Genomic DNA, 18,726 nt, shown 5'->3' with positions numbered 1-18,726 from the left:
AAGACTATGATCAGTGCCACACGTGAGATGGTTACAGTATCTAATACTTGCCTAAATTTTTGAAAGTAAATCCAGCACAGCAGATGCAAATGACACAGTGACTATATCAAAATCCTTTCTCAAGCTATGATTCTTTCCTGTGTTCAAAGGTCCTTTCTATTTTGAATGTTTAGCCTCTGCTTGGCCGAAGAATCTAGCAAGTGGCTCTCCCTCTCTCCTCAAGGTTGGGTCACAACTGGTCTTAGCTAGGCAGAGTGATGTCATTCTTCTTAGAATGACTGTTTTAACAGAGACATGTATTTTTTTCCAGCCAGTGGGATATGAAATAAATTCTGTGGGAGTCATGAATAAGGTTTGTCTTCCTTATAAAAGGAAGCACTTGGGAGTAATTGCCTGTCTTCTTTGCTGTGTCACATAACTGCATGTGATACCTAGAATTACTGCAGCAGTCATCTAACTGTAGAGAAGGGTGGAGGAGAGAAATTATTAACACCTGTGATAATGACAGAAGTAGGAGATTAAAAGCACCTGGATCCCCATGATATCTATCATTCAACCAGCGGCTCTCAAGTTCTGGAGACTCAGGAATTCTTTACAGTCTTAAAAATTACTGAGGATTCCAAAGAGCTTCTGTTTATGTGGATTATATCTGTCAATATTTGCTGTATTAGAATTTTTTTAAGAAGAAAATAAAACATACTGTATATTAATTCATTTGATATCAATATATTTATTACGTGCTATCATGAATAACATGTTTTTTTATGAGTGATAACTGTATTTTTTCAAAGTAAGATAATTGTGGCCAGGCAGGGTGGCTCACACCTGTAATCCCAGCACTTTGGGAGGCCGAGGCGGGTGGATCACTGAGGTCAGGAGTTCGAGACCATCCTGCCAACATGGTAAAACCTCATCTCTAGTAAAAAAAAGAAAATAATAAAAAAAATAGCTTTGCATAGTGGCACGTGCCTAATAGTTCCAGCTACTCGTGAGGTTGAAGCAGGTGAATCGCTTGAACTCAGGAGGTGGAGGTTGCAGTGAGCCTAGATCATGCCACTGTACTCCAGCCTGAGTGATAGAATGAGACTCCATCTCAAAAATAAAATAAAATAAAATAAAATAAAATAAAATAAAATAAAGATAACTGTGTGAGAGAAGCATAACTTTATATTGTGTTCTAATCTCTTTAATATTTGGCTTAATAGCAGAGGGTGGATTCTTATATCATTTTTTTGCATTCAGTCCATTTGTGATATCACACATAATGTAGCTCCTAGAAAATGTCACTGTACACTCATGAGAGAAATGGGCAAATAATATCTGAGTATTATCAGGAAAATATTTCAGATCCACATTATGAGAACTGCCTTATCAGTTCACCCTGAATTAAACACTCTCTAATTATTGTTTTGTGAAATAACATAACTTTTATTACTGAGAGCCCCTTAAATTGATTTTCTGTTGTTTATGGCTAACACAATTTTAAGTAAAACAACAGCCAAAAATATTCCAGTCATGAGTCACAGATTTTTTTCTTAATCTCAAAAAATACTTACTAAGTCTAGAAGTTATTCTCTGTGCTTACTTTCACCTGTGTGCTGTTTAACTGGTTCTAAAAGTTGCTGACTCTCTAGGCAAGGAGGGCCATTGGATTAAAAATATAGTATAAAATAATTCCTTTGTATTACTAACATATTTGTCATTATTTATTTATTTATTTATTTACATTTTTTTGATATGGAGTCTCTCTCTGTCACCCAGGCTGGAGTGCAGTGGCGAGATCTCTGCTCACTGCAACCTCCGCCTCCCGGGTTCAAGCGATTCTCTTGCCTCAGCCTCCCAAGCAGCTGGGATTACAGACGCCCACCACCACGCCCAGCTAATTTTTGTATTTTTAGTAGAGACAGGGTTTCATCATGTTAGCCAGGATGGTCTTGATCTCCTGACCTCATGATCCTCCCGCCTCGGCCTCCCAAACTGCTGGAATTACAGCCGTCAGCCACTGCAACCAGACTAAATTATTTATTATTAAGAGGTGTTTATTACAACATCTATTAGCTCCTGAGGAGGAAAATTAAAATTGTCACGTAGAAAAGAATAAAAAAGTATTTAATTATAATATCTGACTCATATGCATATTTATACATATATGTATAAGAATTCGATAATAATTATTTAAAAATTATTTAAATTATTACATAATATAATGTTGCACATATAATTTGGTTATAATATATTTATATTGCTCAGTTAAAGAAAAGTAAAACTATGTAGCTAGAGGTAAGTTCAGTGTCAACAAAACTCTAATAAAAACCAAATAAATGTTTTCAAATTTTAAAATAGAATATGTAAAAATAGCAGGAGTTAAAAAATTGTTTGTGTGTAAAGGAACTCACTCAAAGATTCTAATCTTGATTTTATCTTTTTTTTTTTGTAATTGCTACAAAAATGCTAAGTTAAGACAGCAAAGGCTGTAGAAAACATGATTTGAAGTCGAAGAGGTGATATTATACGTGTTTTGTAGGTGAGGTTTCCTAGCCACAAAGTCAGAATGGTTATATTGCAACTGTAAATCTGAGTTTTTAAATATTTATTATTAAATAATGAATTAAAATTATATATGTGTTATATATTTACAGAAAATTATATACTGGAACTGGAATTTAATTTATTGAAATGGAGAACACTCAAAGAGCAAGCACCTTAATTTGACAATTTGTGGAGTGGAAAATTGATTACATTACAATTTGAAGTTCAATAACTTTTCGCTAGACAAAATTATGGTTAGAACAGAAAAATGAATATTTGCATATTAGAGACAGAAATAAATTTGTGATGATCAGTATTTAAATTGATTTGATAATTTAAAACATTTTAGATAAATCAGAAACAAAATATTGCTTGAGTATCATTTTGAAACTATCTTTTCTGGAAGTAAAAATAATAATTTATTATTTAAAACAACATGGAAAATTAGCCTTAGAAACATGTCTTTAATTTTGAAGCCATAGGATGTAATATTCAATTACATTTATCACTACATATTTCAAGCTAATTCTGAATTCATTTGAACTACTTTGAAATATGAGCTGAGTGTTGTCTGTATTATTGTTGTCTAATTCAACACTGAATTAGTGTTGTCTGTATTTCCCAAATTCGACATGCAGCGAAAGTAAACAAATCAAGAAAAAGTATTAGCAGCTGCAGGGCGTATTAACTTAGTTTATCATGAACGCTTACAACTCAGAAAATTATGAAAATGTTTTACAAGTGACCAAAATAATGTGAACTAAAAACATATTTTAAAACTTAATTTATTTTCTAGTAATATTCTAGAATTAAATATTTGAAGAAAGACATTAGTGGAAAATCAATTTAAATATTAATGAAATGAAGTTTTACAATGCTTTGAAACTTGGTCTATTGTAAAATTATTTCTTTATAGAACTAATGGATTTTTAAAACTTAACACCATTGTTATATTGTCTCTTCATATCTTGCCCTTGTTTTCTGAGTTAAACCTACACCAGAGTTGCCAAGTTTTTGCTTCTGCCATCTGCATTGAAACTGTCATTCAGTTGCCAGGTTTGGTGACTGCTTCATTGTTTTGGCCAAGCAGTATATTCTGCCTCTTTGGAATGCTTTCAGTGGGGGTACAGGTTATTTGATTTCACTTAACAGTAAATCTTTCTCTTTTTGTGTATCTTCCCCAAAAATCTATAACCCCAGTCGAATCTAAATTTTTAATGAGAAAAAAAATTAGAAAAACCCCAATTGGTAGATGTTCTACAAAATATATGACCAACATTCTTCAACAGTGCCGAGGGCATGACAAACCAGAAAGGATCAGGCAACTACCAAAGATTTGAAGGACACTAAGGAGACATTATTACTAAATGCAATGTGGTATAAACTGTGTCTTGGAGTAAAAGTAAGACAATAGTGGAAAACTTGGTGGAATAAGTAGTTTAGTTAATAATAGGATTGTATTACTATTAAATTCTCAGTATTGATGAATATACCATGATTATGGTTAGAGGAAGATGAGTGTAAGGTATATAGGAGTTCTTTGCTATCATTGCAACTCTTCTGTAAATCTATAACTTTTTTTTTTTTTTTGAGACACGGTCTTGCTCTGTTGCTCAGGCTGGAGCACAACAGTGTCATCACAGCTCACTGTAACCTCAAACTCCTGGTTTCATGCAATCCTCCCACCTTGGCCTATTTTAAAACTATTTTAAATAAAAAGTATAAAAAGGTAAGTGAAAATATAATAAAAATTGTCAAACCTTTGAGACTTTCTCAAGGAATTTATGTTATCTAACTATGGATGGGACCAGTAGTGGGAGTGGGAGTGGTGAAAAACAAGACAGACATTCTTGATGTGTGGCTTTGGGAGTGTCAAAAGTTTCTTAGCCAAAAGTTATTTATTTATCTAGTAAAAAATAAAGTATAGGTCTTCAATTAGTTTGATAACTCTATGTTAGCAACTATTTTGGCAGGAGGATGGGTCAGGATTTATGTTTAGCATGAGTAAAATGCTGGGGAATATGATAGTCAAGTTTATTATCTTTATAAAACTTACATTCTAGTGAGGGAAAGAGAAAAAAGAACAATTAATAAGAACATTGCAGAACTATATAAATGCCAAGAAGGAAGTAAACATGGACTCTTCAAAGGCAATATGACAGAAATTCCTGGGCCCTAAATCTAGACCCTGCAGTCTTATAGGGTAAACTGATTTTGCTTAAACAACAATAGTATAGAGATCTGTGATATTTGTAAGAGTGTGCAGGATGCAGAAAATATTTTCCCCAGATAACATGTTGTGAGAGTGATGGTCATTGTATTTGTTTGGATTTTAATAGGTCCATAGGATTTAAGGAGGATATAAAAGCAAGAAATTCTGAGCCAGCAAAGCATTTAGATGGAATATAAAAAAATTGAAGAGAAGCAATGGAAGGTTTTCTGGGTCCTCTGCAAATCTGACCCAAAACTTTATATAGTTATTGATCAACCAATATTAAACAAATACATGACAAAGTATAAAGCTATAAATTTGGGAAATACAGAAGTCTTTAAAAGCTAAACTAAGGAATTGTGATTTTATTTATGTGTCACATTAGAATAAAGGCAAATTTGAGTTATCGGGTAGTTTCAAAAGATCAAATTGATAGCATGGTTTCAAAAAAGAATGGCGGCAGAAAGTTAAATTTGGATGTAACAATAAATAATATGTACTTTATGTTTATTTGCCAACCTAGAATATAAGTGTAAATTATTGTATATATATAATATGCTCTATTATCCCTGTTTTGTAGATAATAATTGCTGTATTTTTCCAAATATTAGAAAAATAAATCCCATTATGGTTAAAGAATTTCCCCAGTATCAAAATTTATTAAGTGGTAGAGTAGAGATTCAAACCTAAGGATCAAAGAGTTTGAATTCTTAAACCAAGATGCACCGTAATGGGAGAATATGTTTGATCCAAGGTGGTGACCATGGGAATGGAAGGAAGCGTAGATTAAAATAGTGTTATGAATAGAATCAATAGAATGTGGTTATTTCACGAGGGTTGGAATAAGAGGAGTAATTGATGACACCAATGTTTCAGTCCTCTAGGGGAGTGGAAAAGGGATTTACTAAACAAAGGATGGTTCTTTTTTGTGAGAATAACAGATGAGATCATGCCAGCAGAGGCTGAATTAGTAGGGTAAGTTTTGTTAATAAGTATGTATGTTAGATCTCTGTAAGTCAGGAAATGGGTACAGATGAATATGTGTAGACATTAGTTCGTGAGTTTTGTAACCTCATCTCTCATTTGTAAAGTTAACGTTTTGGAAGAAAAAAAGCAAATGTGTACAATACTATCTCTACAAAAATACAAAAGGAATATTAAAAATTAATTTAATTTATAAGGAGTTTCCATTGAAGGCTTTTTGAAGTAAGTGATAAGTGAAGTTTCAGATCTGTTATTAGTTATTTTCATGAAAGATTCTTGTATTTTTGAATTATTTTAAAATAATTATGAATATTTTATGTATTTTCATTTTTATTAATATACATTATAATTCTTCATCTTTTCTTTGTCTCTCATTCTTTCTTTTGCCATATAAAACATCCCTAAACAACATTGTTTTTAACTCTATTTGCTTCATATAAATAGAAAATGAGATCTAATTGGTTATGGTATCCACTAGCACCTGGATAAAAGAAACCTTAGAGAAAAAACAAATTTATTTCTTTCTTTGTCAGCCATTTCATTTAACAGTGGTAAATCATTATTTTAATGCATAGGTAGAGCCACTCAATTTGAATCTAAGAAGTTCTTTTCATCTATCTTAGAGTAAGATTTAGCTGCTTTCTAACCATTAAGTATATTTCCCTGCTGTTTGATGATGCGATTCTCAGAGAGCAGGATCAATGGTGTTTTAACGTTCCAGGTATAGAAAGGGTTTACTGCTCTTGACCAAGAGTCAGCAGGATGAGCAGGTAAGTCATGTCATTTTCTATACAAATCTTTTTCTTCAGGGTATCACACATATTTTCTTCCCTTGTCTCCAACGTTCTTGCAAAAGTCTTATAAAGGAATATCATGAATTAACTCATTTAATTCTTATAAAATTACAGGCAATATGAATTTCATTTTTCTGTCAAGTAGAGAAACATGATAAGTAACATGATAAGAAATCATGCCCAGATGTTTGCTTCCAAATTAATGTGAATGTCTTTTCTCTTTGCTGTGCCTCATGTTGTGGTGGCTCTGTTATTGCCTCCTATGTGACATTGCAATGGGACTTTAGCAAGGTCTTTCCCAGAATGTTTGGAATTACCAGTTATTGCTTCTACACTTTATTTATGATATGTTGCTGTCATCCCCATTACAGAGTCTGTGAAGCTGGATTAAGGGACTATCCAAGTTGCAGCACCAAAACAAATATGTAATCCCACTGCCACTGGGATTCTGTCTGAGGTAGATCAGTCTCATCTTAGCTAATATGACATTGTTTTTGTTGTTGCCATTCCACTAAGATACAGTGAACTCTCAAAACATTTTTCTATGTTTACTGAGATTATCTCTAATTTATATTTCACATTATTTTGGACTCTTAAATTTCAAGTGTTTTCCCTAAGACCACAGCTACAACTGAGAAAAAGATGAGTGTTTGCCTATACACCTTGCAGTGACTACCCCAGCATGATTTACATCTCTTTCCTAGCGACATTTTTTTTTCCCTGATCTATCCTTAGGACATTTAGATCTACAGGAGCAATAATAAGGCATCTACGCCTTTAATTTATTTTATTTTCATTTTTATGGATACATAATAGTTGTACATATTTATGAAGTACATGTGATCTATTCATATATGTATGTGTAATGAATAAATCTGGATATTCGGTATATCCATCACCTCAAACATTTATCATTTCTTTGTGTTGGGAACATCCCAGATCTTCTCTTCCAGTTATTTTGAAATACACAATAAATTATTGTTAACTGTAGTTGCCCTATTTTGTTATTGAACACTAAATCTTATTCCTTCTCTCTAATTGCATTTTTTCCACCCATTAACTAACCCTTCTTTATTGCCACTCTCCACTACCCTTTCCAGGCTCTGAACACCACCATTCTATTTGTTACCTTCATGAACTCAATTATTTTAGATTCCACATGTAAGTGAGAACATGCAATATTTGTCTTTCTGTGTCTGGCTTATTTCACTTAACATAATGTCCTCCATTCCATCCATGCTGCTGCAAATGACAGGAATTCATTCTTTTTTATGGCTGAATAATATTTCATTGTGTGCATATACCACATTTTCTTTATCCATTTATCTGTTGAAGGACACTTAGGTTGATTCCATGTATTCGCTATTGTGGATAGTGCTGTAATAAACATGGAGGTGCAGATATCTCATTGATATACTGATTTCTTTTTTTGACTATATCTCCAGCAGTAGGATTTCTGGATCATATGGTAGTTCTATTTTTAGTTTTATGAGGAGTCTCCATATTGTTTTTTCATAGTGATTGTACTAATTTACATTCCCACTAACAGTGAAAGTGTGCTCGCCTTTCTCCACATCCTCGCCAGCATGCATTACTGCCTGACTTTTTAAAAATAACCTTTTTAATTGAGGTGAGATGATGTATCTTCGTGGTTTTGATGTGCATTTTCCTGATAATTGGTGATGTCAAGCATTTAAAATATATACCTATTTGTTATTCTATGTCTTCTTTTGAGAAATTGCTATTTCAGGGTAAAAAGAACCCCTCCTATCAGTCTCTTTAAATATTAAACAGCTTGGGACTTTGAGACCACTCTTCCGTGACATCTTAACCAGGGGAATCCTAACCAGGATTATGCAATGCAATCCTCAATTAATCTCTGACTCAATTAAAATGGCTGGATTAAAAGTGGAAAACTCCTAGGTGTGAAGACTAGATAGATAGATGATAGATAAATAGATAGATAGATAGATAGATAGATAGATAGATAGATAGATTTGAGTCCTCTGAGAGTGAGTTGGATTATCAAGTCATGAGATTCTGTTATAGATCTCTTTTCAGTCTAGGGAACAACTGAATGAAAAGAAACCAAAATACAAATAAAATTTTCTAAAATATGCAAATGGAAGTGTGATGAGAGACCCTCATTGAAGGTCAGAATATTCATCTAAATTATCTAGGATGTGAAGAGGCTATACACACCATTCTCTTCATATTGACAAACAGTGAAAAATTAAAATCTGCCCTTGAGTCTATTAGTTTTCTTTTTTTTTTTTTTTTTTTTTTTTTTTTTTTGAGACGGAGTCTCGCTCTGTCGCCCAAGCTGGAGTACAGCGGCGCGATTTAGGCTCACTGCAAGCTCCGCCTCCCGGGTTCATGCCATTCTCCTGTCTCAGCCTCCCAAGTAGCTGGGACTACAGGTGCCCGCCGCCATGCCCGGCTAATTTTTTTGTATTTTTAGTAGAGACCGGGTTTCCCCGTTTTAGCCAGGATGGTCTCAATCTCCTGACCTCGTGATCAGCCCGCTTCAGCCTCACAAAGTGCTGGGATTACAGGCGTGAGCCACCGCGCCCGGCCCATTAGGTTCTTTGAAAAGCTTCTGCAAATAGAGTATTGACACAATACTTATTGCTACAAACCCACGTCTAAAATATTCTTTACATATATATGTCTTATGTTTTAGCCAATTATGTGATATATCCCATAGCCATATTTATGTAAACTATTTCAATTATTTGAACCAATCAACTAATGCAAGACATACATATATATGTATCTACATCTATGTATAAATATACATGTGAATATGTATATTTATATATAAAAACCATGTTCCTAAAACTTAATGGATTCAAAGAGAGATTTATTGTAGGAAGCATCAGAAGTTCTTACTTCAAAGCAATGAAAAGCATAGGAATTTTTCAGGGAAATTTAAATGAGAGGATTTGAATGTTATTTCTGGTTCTTTATAACCCAGCAATGTTTGTATTAATGGTATTAAAAAAGAAAATAAAATGTATAGATAAGGCTTTGTAGGAGCATTTCCGTATTTATCAGTGACTGCATAAAGTTTAAAAAAAAGTAAACCCTACCACCGATTGCATTACTCTAATACACACATCATCATAATTGTAGTGAATATCTCCACTTATTTTATTATATATATAGGCTTATGCACCCATTGAAATCTCATCTATTATTTTTTCAGTGCTGTCTTTACACTGAGTTATATTAACATGTGGTCTTTATGTTTCCTAATTCCAGTATTCACCTGACCTCAATCAAAAAAGTGTTGACTACAAAAGGTTAAACATACATTTTATCATATATATATAAATTATATATATAATTTATATATATATATATAATACTCCCAGAAACATGCCCTCTACATTTAGAAACATTGGTTATTTTCTCATTATTTTAGGAAAACAGGCACATATGTAATGATAAATATCTTACTTTTATCACTTATATTATGGTGAAGGCACAGTGTAGAAATTCTGATACCCATATGACATTTAGTTCTAAGGAATAGCCATATACTATTTCATAATCTTGAAATATTTATGCAACTTTTCTCCTAATGCTTCCGTATTGAAGCACTTTCACTTTCTTTCTGTTTTTATTTCATTTTTTGCCTTTGCTACTACAAACAATGGTACATAAAACATTCTAAAGAATAAATTACTTAGAACAGAGCTTTCTAATATGATATTCTTTTATTTTTTGTGATATAGAGTGCCAGGAATTGAATTGCTGAGACAATGAGTACATGTTTAATGCAATAGTTTTAAAAATACACTTTTATTTCTATAGTATGGAGTCCCAGAAATGTGATTGCTGAATCAATGGGTACATTCGTAATGAAATTGTTTTTGAATTACATTTTTATTTCTATACGACAGTGTTCCCTGAATGGGATTGCTGAGTAAATGTGTACATTTTTAATGTAATAATTTTCAAATACCGTTCTAAGAAAACCAAGAGTTTTGAGAAGGCTTTTGTTGCTATTTTTGCTGTTTTTTAAAGGGGCTGAGGGAAATGTCTACTGGTTGGTACTGGGTTAACTTTCATGTTTCAACCAGAGAAGTCTTCCTTTTATACATTTAACATATTGCTATGGTAGCTGTTGATAGCTATCCATCAGAATCCATTTTCCTTTCCCTGGGCATACATCAACACTATATTTTCTAGCTTTCCTTGCTTTTACTTGTCGCTGTGTGACAGAGTTCTAGGCAGTGGAAAAAGAGCAGAACAAATGAGATCAGTGACTCCCAAGCTCGTCCCATAGAAGTGTCCCACATACCCTCCATCTATCTTTCTTCTGGCTGAACTAGAGGAGGCTATCATGGTTGGTGAACTTGTAAGCCACATTTTGAAGCTTGGAGAAGCTCTGTAAGTCTAAGTGATTATGGGGAGAAAATCCTGTTGCTGACTAGAGAAACTCATCTTGGGAAAATAATTTGTTTAAAAAAGTATTATGTTTGAACCATGATACACTTTGGAATCAATTTGTTACACAGCCAGCACCAACCTAACTAATAATTGCATGACTTGAGCAGAAAAAAAGCTTTTTGAAGTCTGGTACTCTGTTTCAGTAATGTCCTATTCGTTTTTTTAATATAATTTCCGAAAGAATAAATAACTTAATTTTCTAATAATAGTGACAAAGATGATGATTTTAGAAATGAAATAAAGCAAGTTGTTTAAAAAAGTACAGTGTGCTCTTACGAGCTTGGACCTTAGTAATTATTTCCAGCTTCAGGTCACAAGAAAATAACACTAAGCCATATATAGATTTCAATTTTTCAACCTCTATTTCAGAATCTTATAAAAGATGAGAGTATGGTCTGTCTTTTAATAAATTAAGCTTTGGATGCTGATAAATGTGTGATAGTCTTTAATAAAGTAGGATAAAATCAAGATTAAAATGTGACCACTGATAATATTTGTGATGCCTGTTAACAAGAGCAACAGTAATATTACAAAATAAAGACCAGGAGAAAGACATTATTCCTTTCCATGAAGTAGAAATAGATTACATCAGTTTCTTTCCCTTTTCGTATTTTTCCTTCCATCATTAATTGTGTCATGAAGCAAAATTAGATTTGTCTTCCAAAATTTGTTCGAAGAAAAATATGATTTTTTTCTCTTTATTTCCTTCCTTTCTCCCTTCTTTAATAATGTCATCAAAAAGCCATTAAACAGACAAGCATAGAAGGAGGCCTGGTGAGTCTTGAGGTCCATGTGAGGAAGTAAGACAAATATAGTGTAAGCTGTTGGTGTCAGAATGTTGGTTATGTATAGGGGATTGAGAAATAATTAGTAGATAGATTTCTCAATATTAGATAAAACAATTACAAGTTTGAAAAGGAGGGAACCTAGAATGAAGATTATGGTGATGGGATAGAATTGAAGTTATTAGTGTAAACTAATACAGACACACACATATGTACATATATAATATATTTAAAATAGATATATATTTATATATTACATATATATTTACACACACATACATATGTATCATTCATAATTATGTACACATGTGTTCATCTACGTAGTATACGGCTACACACACACATAAACGCACACACACACAAACACACACATCTTTGTCCTCATTTTGTCCAGTAAAAAGGCCACAGAGTACCAAGCAGCAATAAAGTAAGTGCTGAAATCTTGGTTTCTGAATTTGTTTCCCACTAAAAGGAACCAGATCTCCTTGAAGAAATGGCTACTTCTAAAATTGAGAAAGGGAAAGGACAACATAAACCTGTAATATCTCATGTCAAAAATTACAGAATGTAAGTCATTTCTAAAAGATTAAGTTTAAAAATAGAACATTGTACACTTAACGGTTTGCTTTAGAATAGCATTTTTAATCTACATTTTATGACTTTAAAATAATCTATACTTACATAGTGGTCTATATAAAAGTTAAAACGATGTACAATAAACTTTTTTACATTTTAAATATAGAATTCTTTCTACTTCATTACAATCATTAATTTATAAGTATCATATTTTCTTATATAAAATAACATCAGAATATATCATTGTTATGATAATATTTTGCTAGTTTAAGGAGAGACAAAGTGGCCAATAGAACAGAAGAAAGAGTCCAAAAACATACCATACTTCTGTGGTCACCTGATTTATCCCAAAGGCAATAATGCAGTGTAAAAAGGAGAAGATGGGCTGAGCGCAGTGGTTCAAGCCTGTAATCCCAGCACTTTGGGAGACCAAAGTGGGCAGATCACCTGAGGTCGAGAGTTCGAGACCAGCCTGGCCAACATTGTGAAACCCCGTCTATACTAAAAAAAAAAAAATACAAAAATTAGCTGGGCTTGGTGGCGGGCACCTGTAATCCCAGCTACTTGGGAGGCTGAGGCAGGAGAATTGCTTGAACCTGGGAGGCGGAGGTTTCAGTGAGTCAAGTTCGCACTATTGCATGCCAGCCTGGGCGACAAGAGTGAAACTCTGTCTCAGAAAAAAGAGGAGAAGATGGTATTTTTGAAAGTCTCTTGACCCACTACCCTCACATCATACACAGAAGTTATTTTAGGATGGACTGAAATTTTAAACAAGTAAAACAAGAAAACTTTTAATGGAAAATATAGGAGAAACTCTCAGTGACCTTGGAAGAGCAGACTTTTTTGGAACAATACAAAATTTATGACAATGATGGAAGAAAGCTAAAATAAACTTTATTAAAATTAATAAACTTACATTTAACAAAATACACCATTAAGAAAAGAAAATGGTAATCTACTAATTGGGAGAAAATATTAACAACATATACATCCTTCAAAGAACTCATTATATACATATACAGAGCCACAAATTAATAAAAACACAGATAACTTGATGGAAAGAAATGCACAAAACACTTGAATAGATAGCTTGATAAAAGCAGATATCCAAATGGCCAATGAACATCCGAAAAATTGTGCAATTTCATTAGTCTTCAGATAAATGCAAATTAAGACCACAACCTGATACCACTGCATGCACTTCAAGGTAATGGGAAAGCAGAAAATAATGTGAGCCAACCAACACTCTCATGCAATACTGATAGGAAAATATGTTGGTACAAACACTTTTAAAAAGTGTTTGGTGGTATCTGCTAAATATTGACAAATAAATACCATATGACCTAGCAGTTTATTCTTAGGTATACGCCCAATAGTTATGCCTGTGTATATTCACCAAATAACATGTATTGAAATATTTGTAGCAGCACTATTTTTATTAACCCTAAAGTTTCAGCTAATTTGTGTACAATTATTAGGAGAATGAATAAATAAATTATGGTATATTAATGAAGTGGAATACTATGCAACAATGAGCACAAATGATATAACACTACCTGAAAAAAATAGAGATAGATTTTATAAACATAAAATTACATGAAAGAATCCAAACTTAAATGATCACACTGCATGATTCTATTTACATAAAGTATAAAACAGCTCAAACTATTTTATAGGTTAGAAGTAAAGAAAGTGAGCATCTTCAATGGGAGGGGGGTTATTGAGTGAAAGGAGCATGAGACCTCTTCTAAGAAGCAGATAATTTTTCTTCTTAATTTGAGTGCTAATTATACAGATGTCTCCATTTTTGGGAAAATGCATTGGGCTGTATATTTATTTCTGTGCACTTTTCTGTTTTACATACATATCAATAAAAAGCTGTGAAAAAATGGAAGTTAGGAAATAAGAATAAGTCTTCATCATACACCGAATGGAAACTGAATATAAGAAAGCACAAAAAAGTATGAAGCTTATAAATGTGAATTAAAAGTCTATAAAGTTAGATGTTACCCTGATGTGATTATTATGCACTGTATGCCTGTATCAAAATATTTCATGTACCCCATATATATATATCCATATGCTATGTGCCCATAAAAATTAAATTTTTTTTAATTAAATGTATTCATAATTATTTTAGTAACTTATTGACAGATATATTTAAATAAGTGTGCTTTGGAATAAGTCATACAACTCAATTAAAACTTTCTATAGCTTTTATGAATGCTAATAAAAAGTTTCATTTCTGCAGTTGTCACAAGGTATACTTCTGAAAAACAGTCTAGCTTCACAGCAGTTCTCACTGTAACTGTAGGAATTTCTGACATGGAAATTTTTTCCCTGTAGTTTTGTAAAATTCACCATATACACACACACACACACACACACACACACATACACACGTATTATATAATTAAATGTGAGACATTAAATATATAATGTATATTATATATACATTTAAATATATAATTTATATGATATATTTAATGTCTCACATTTAATTCTTAAATATAGATGGTCTGAAATCTAACAGTAAATTTTACTTTTAGAAATTTCAATCATTCAATCATCACTTATTAACAATTAATATAGTGGACAATTTAGTGAAACAGAACTCAATTTATGCATATTTCTTCCTTGTCTGCTGTTTTGTTCTTTTCTACTTGCAGTAAATAAGTCCTGGAAAGTTACCTTTTTCTCTTTTTGGAATCTTTGATAGTGTTCAGCCTCACGAAGAAGTCAGTTGATCTCTACCATTTTGGGAAAGGAGGCAAGGTGAAAGAGCACTTTTTGAGTTTCATAATAAGAAAGAGAAAGCTTCCCAATCCTTAGTTTGATAACCAAGCTTATAAAAACAGTAACTGCTGTAAATTTGCAAGGTGAACAGCTAAACATACACTTCTGAGGTGCCAAGCAGCTTAGAGGATTATATGCATTTGAAAGAACTGAAACCTAAGGAATATCTCCCTGGGAACTTAGGGAACAATCTAAGTTGACTCTGACAAGGAATGAGTGGAGTTGCCACTGGAATCAGTTTCAAGATTCCAGTGAAAGATTGCTCTAGGCTCTGCCTAGATCAGGTCAAGCAAGATAGAACTGCATCAGGATCTTGACTGCAGCAGTCAGACTAGGAAAGTTTAGTGCTCAACAACAACACATTTTGACAGCTATATGTAAGAGTAGCCATGGGTTGATTGAAAACCAAAGCCATCTTTGCTTGCGTATGGAAATGATTCGATATCTTTTGGAATGTGAAAATTATTTGGAAATGGATTATAAGAAATAATCTTTAAGATGAAAAGCTATCAAGCTTTCTGCCACTCTAGCCAGTGGGTCCCCGAAATGAATTTAATTTGAGAAAGAAAGTAAAGGAAATTAACCACGCATCTGAATGTTGTGGATCATTTCCTATTGCTTACTAGTTACCATATACCTAGACACCAAAAAGCAAAACAACAAAAAGAGAAACAAAAATTAAAAAAAAAATTACCCTAAAAAAGTAAATATAGAGGCTGAAGAAAGCATGTTAGTAATAAATATATTGGGATATTTGAGATTTTATCTAAGTAGCAGGTAAAGCATAGAATGTTCCTGAGAAAAAAATTCAATATAAAACAAAATAATGAAATTATATGACAGTAATGCAGAAAGACTAAGTTAATATCTTTTTGTTGTTTGTACTACGATGTAGAATATTGCAATCAGCTTGGGTCACCATGTTCAAAAAGAATATTGAAAGAATAAAACTAAATAAACCAAAATAAAAACATAAATGATAACAAATAGGTAAGATGGAGAAAAAAATTTAAATGCAAAAAGAAGAGAATGTTTGGATTTATATTAGCCATAAATATAAAGATGCTCAATTAAAAATGTTCTTATCCTAGAATGCTCACTTAGAAATGCTCAAAATACAAGTATTTGGATGTATAAAAGCCATGTCAAAGATGGTATACAAAAGTAGATAAGTTAAAGTAATATGTTTTTTTTTCTTTTAATTTAAAAACTCTGGGCCGGGCACGGTGGCTCATGCCTGTAATCCCAGCACTTTGGGAGGCCAAGACCGGCAGATCACGAGGTCAGGAGATCGAAACCATCCTGGCTAACAGGGTGAAACCCCGTCTCTACTAAAAACACAAGAAAATTAGCTGGGCATGGTGGTGGGCGCCTGTAGTCTCAGCTATTTGGGAGGCTGAGGCAGGAGAATAGCGTGGACCCGGGAGGCGGAGCTTGCAGTGAGCAGAGATTGTGCCACTGCACCCCAGTCTGGGTGACAGAGCAAGACTCCACCTCAAAAAAAAAAAAAAAACAAAAAAAAAAAACTAAAAAAACCAACTCTGACAGAGTTAGCTATCTTCAATGGTTTGATTCTTTACTAATAATTTCTTATTGTTAACAGTTGTACCTAATAATTTCTTTTCTAGCTTAGTGATTTTTTTTTTTTTTTTGAGATGGAGTTTCACTCTTGTTGCCCAGGCTGGAGTGCAATGGCACCATGTCGGCTCACCGCAACCTCCGCCTCCTGGGTTCAAGCAATTCTCCTGCCTCAGCCTCCTGAGTAGCCAAGATTACAGGCATGCGCTACCACACCCGGCTAATTTTATATTTTTAGTAGAGATGGGGTTTCTCCATGTTGGTCAGGCTGGTCTCGAACTCCCGACCTAAGGTGATTCACCCACCTCGGCCTCCCAAAGTGCTGGGATTACAGGAGTGAGCCACAGTGCCTGGCAAACACTGATGTAATTAACAATACAACAGTTTGTTATTTCCTTCTTTTATATATAGTCAAAACATTACTATGTATTTGTTAGATGTTAGGTAATGCACTAAGCTATAGGAATTCACTAGAAATGCAACTGTGATTAAAATATAGTATTATTTCTAGATTTTTAGTTCCTTTCTCTCTCCCCCCCGCCACACACACACAAATGCGTGTCTATCTGTATCTATATTTATCATATTGCACAGTAGTCAACAACTTATGGCCCATGGACCAAATTCTGTCTTTCTCCAATTTTTGCATGGCCCATGATTTTTATACTTGTAAACGGCTGAAAAAAAAATCAAACGATCATATGTTGATATGTGAAAATTATGCAAAATTCACATTTCAGGGTCTGTAAATAAAGTTTTATTGGAACACAGGTACACTTATTTGCTTATATATTATCTATGGCTGCTTTCATACTGCAATAGCAGAGTTGAGTAGCTGCAAAATAGTATATATCACTTGAAAAGTCTAAATTATTTACTGTATCTTTATGAAAACTGCTTGTTGTAACAGATATTTGCATTAAATATGTTTTTTCACCTTTAATTATAAGTGAATACGCATATATATATATACCCATCCTAGAGACAGCAGAACGAGTCATAGGAAACCAGGTTGTAAATATAATGAAAAATGACATATATATGTTTCTATTGGCAACATAATTTAGATCAAAAGGATTATAGTCTAGTGTTTTTAAAATGATGCAGGGGAAAAGGGGAAGGGAAGAAAAAAGTGAATATTTATAAATTTATTCATAAAATCTTATAAATTAAACAAAAAACAACTACTGTGTGCTTTTCATATGCTTTTTTAACCAAAAATATCTATTTTAAAAATATTTAGTTAAAATTTATTGATAGGTATAGGAAGGGGTAACTACCTATGTGTATACCTCTTTCTTATGTGAAAATGTCATCCTTTCATAGAGTATGAATGCATTGTCCTACAACTCATACATTGAAAGAAAACTTTCATAGGACTTCATGTATCAGAAGACATCACTTTAAAGAAAGTCAGTAGCAGTTCTAGAGTATTTGAGAGTCACCTTTTCAAACCATTAGTTCATATAAAAAGTGAAAGCAAGATAGAAAGGTATAATGTGGTTATGCCATAGGGTTTTGCTCTTTTCCCATAAGAATAATGAGTGTTTTCATTTTAAAATACAATTTAAAATATGATGCAAATACAGTGCAAAAACTACAGATGAGTTTTTCTACATGGTAATGACTAGGTAATACTAAATCACATTTCAGCTAAACTCCAAAATGTTTCACAATTACACTGTGGTTTGTGCCCTTGTTCACGTTCATGCCTTGTCATTATGCTCCTTGTACATTCAATTTATTTTTTTCTTACTCTGTTAGCCACATCACCCTCTAAATCAGTAATGGATTTAATTGGATAGAATAATAACCAAGAGCATTTTATTTTCAGAAATGAAATTATATAAATTGTGGTTTGCTTAGTTATTTGTAAATTATGAGTTCTATAAATAATAGCAAGTCATCATATGTTTAGTTTATCAGAAACTTTGAAACTTTTCATGTCATGGTGATATGGTTTGGTTGTTTTCCCACCCAAATCTCATCTTGAATTGTAGTTCCCATAATTTCC

At 32.9% G+C, this 18,726-nt stretch overlaps 1 long non-coding RNA gene across 7 annotated transcripts in view; it reads right to left on the bottom strand.

Annotated features, from left to right (window-relative positions):
• The window catches only part of LOC105374191 (uncharacterized), a 237,185-nt gene that overhangs the window by 109,617 nt on the left and 108,842 nt on the right, over positions 1–18,726 (bottom strand). The window contains exon 1 of one of the 7 annotated variants that reach the window (XR_924661.3): positions 12,659–12,839. The exons of the other annotated variants lie outside the window; for them this stretch is intronic. This is a non-coding gene — a long non-coding RNA (uncharacterized LOC105374191). Of the gene's footprint in view, positions 1–12,658; positions 12,840–18,726 lie in introns of those variants that run through there. 7 annotated transcript variants of the gene reach the window in all.

Source organism: Homo sapiens, chromosome 3 (genome assembly GCF_000001405.40).
Source record: "Homo sapiens chromosome 3, GRCh38.p14 Primary Assembly".
In the NCBI taxonomy this organism is placed as follows: Eukaryota; Metazoa; Chordata; class Mammalia; order Primates; family Hominidae; genus Homo; species Homo sapiens.
Note: the sequence above shows the minus strand (reverse complement) of the source record. Positions and strands in the feature narration are given on the sequence as shown.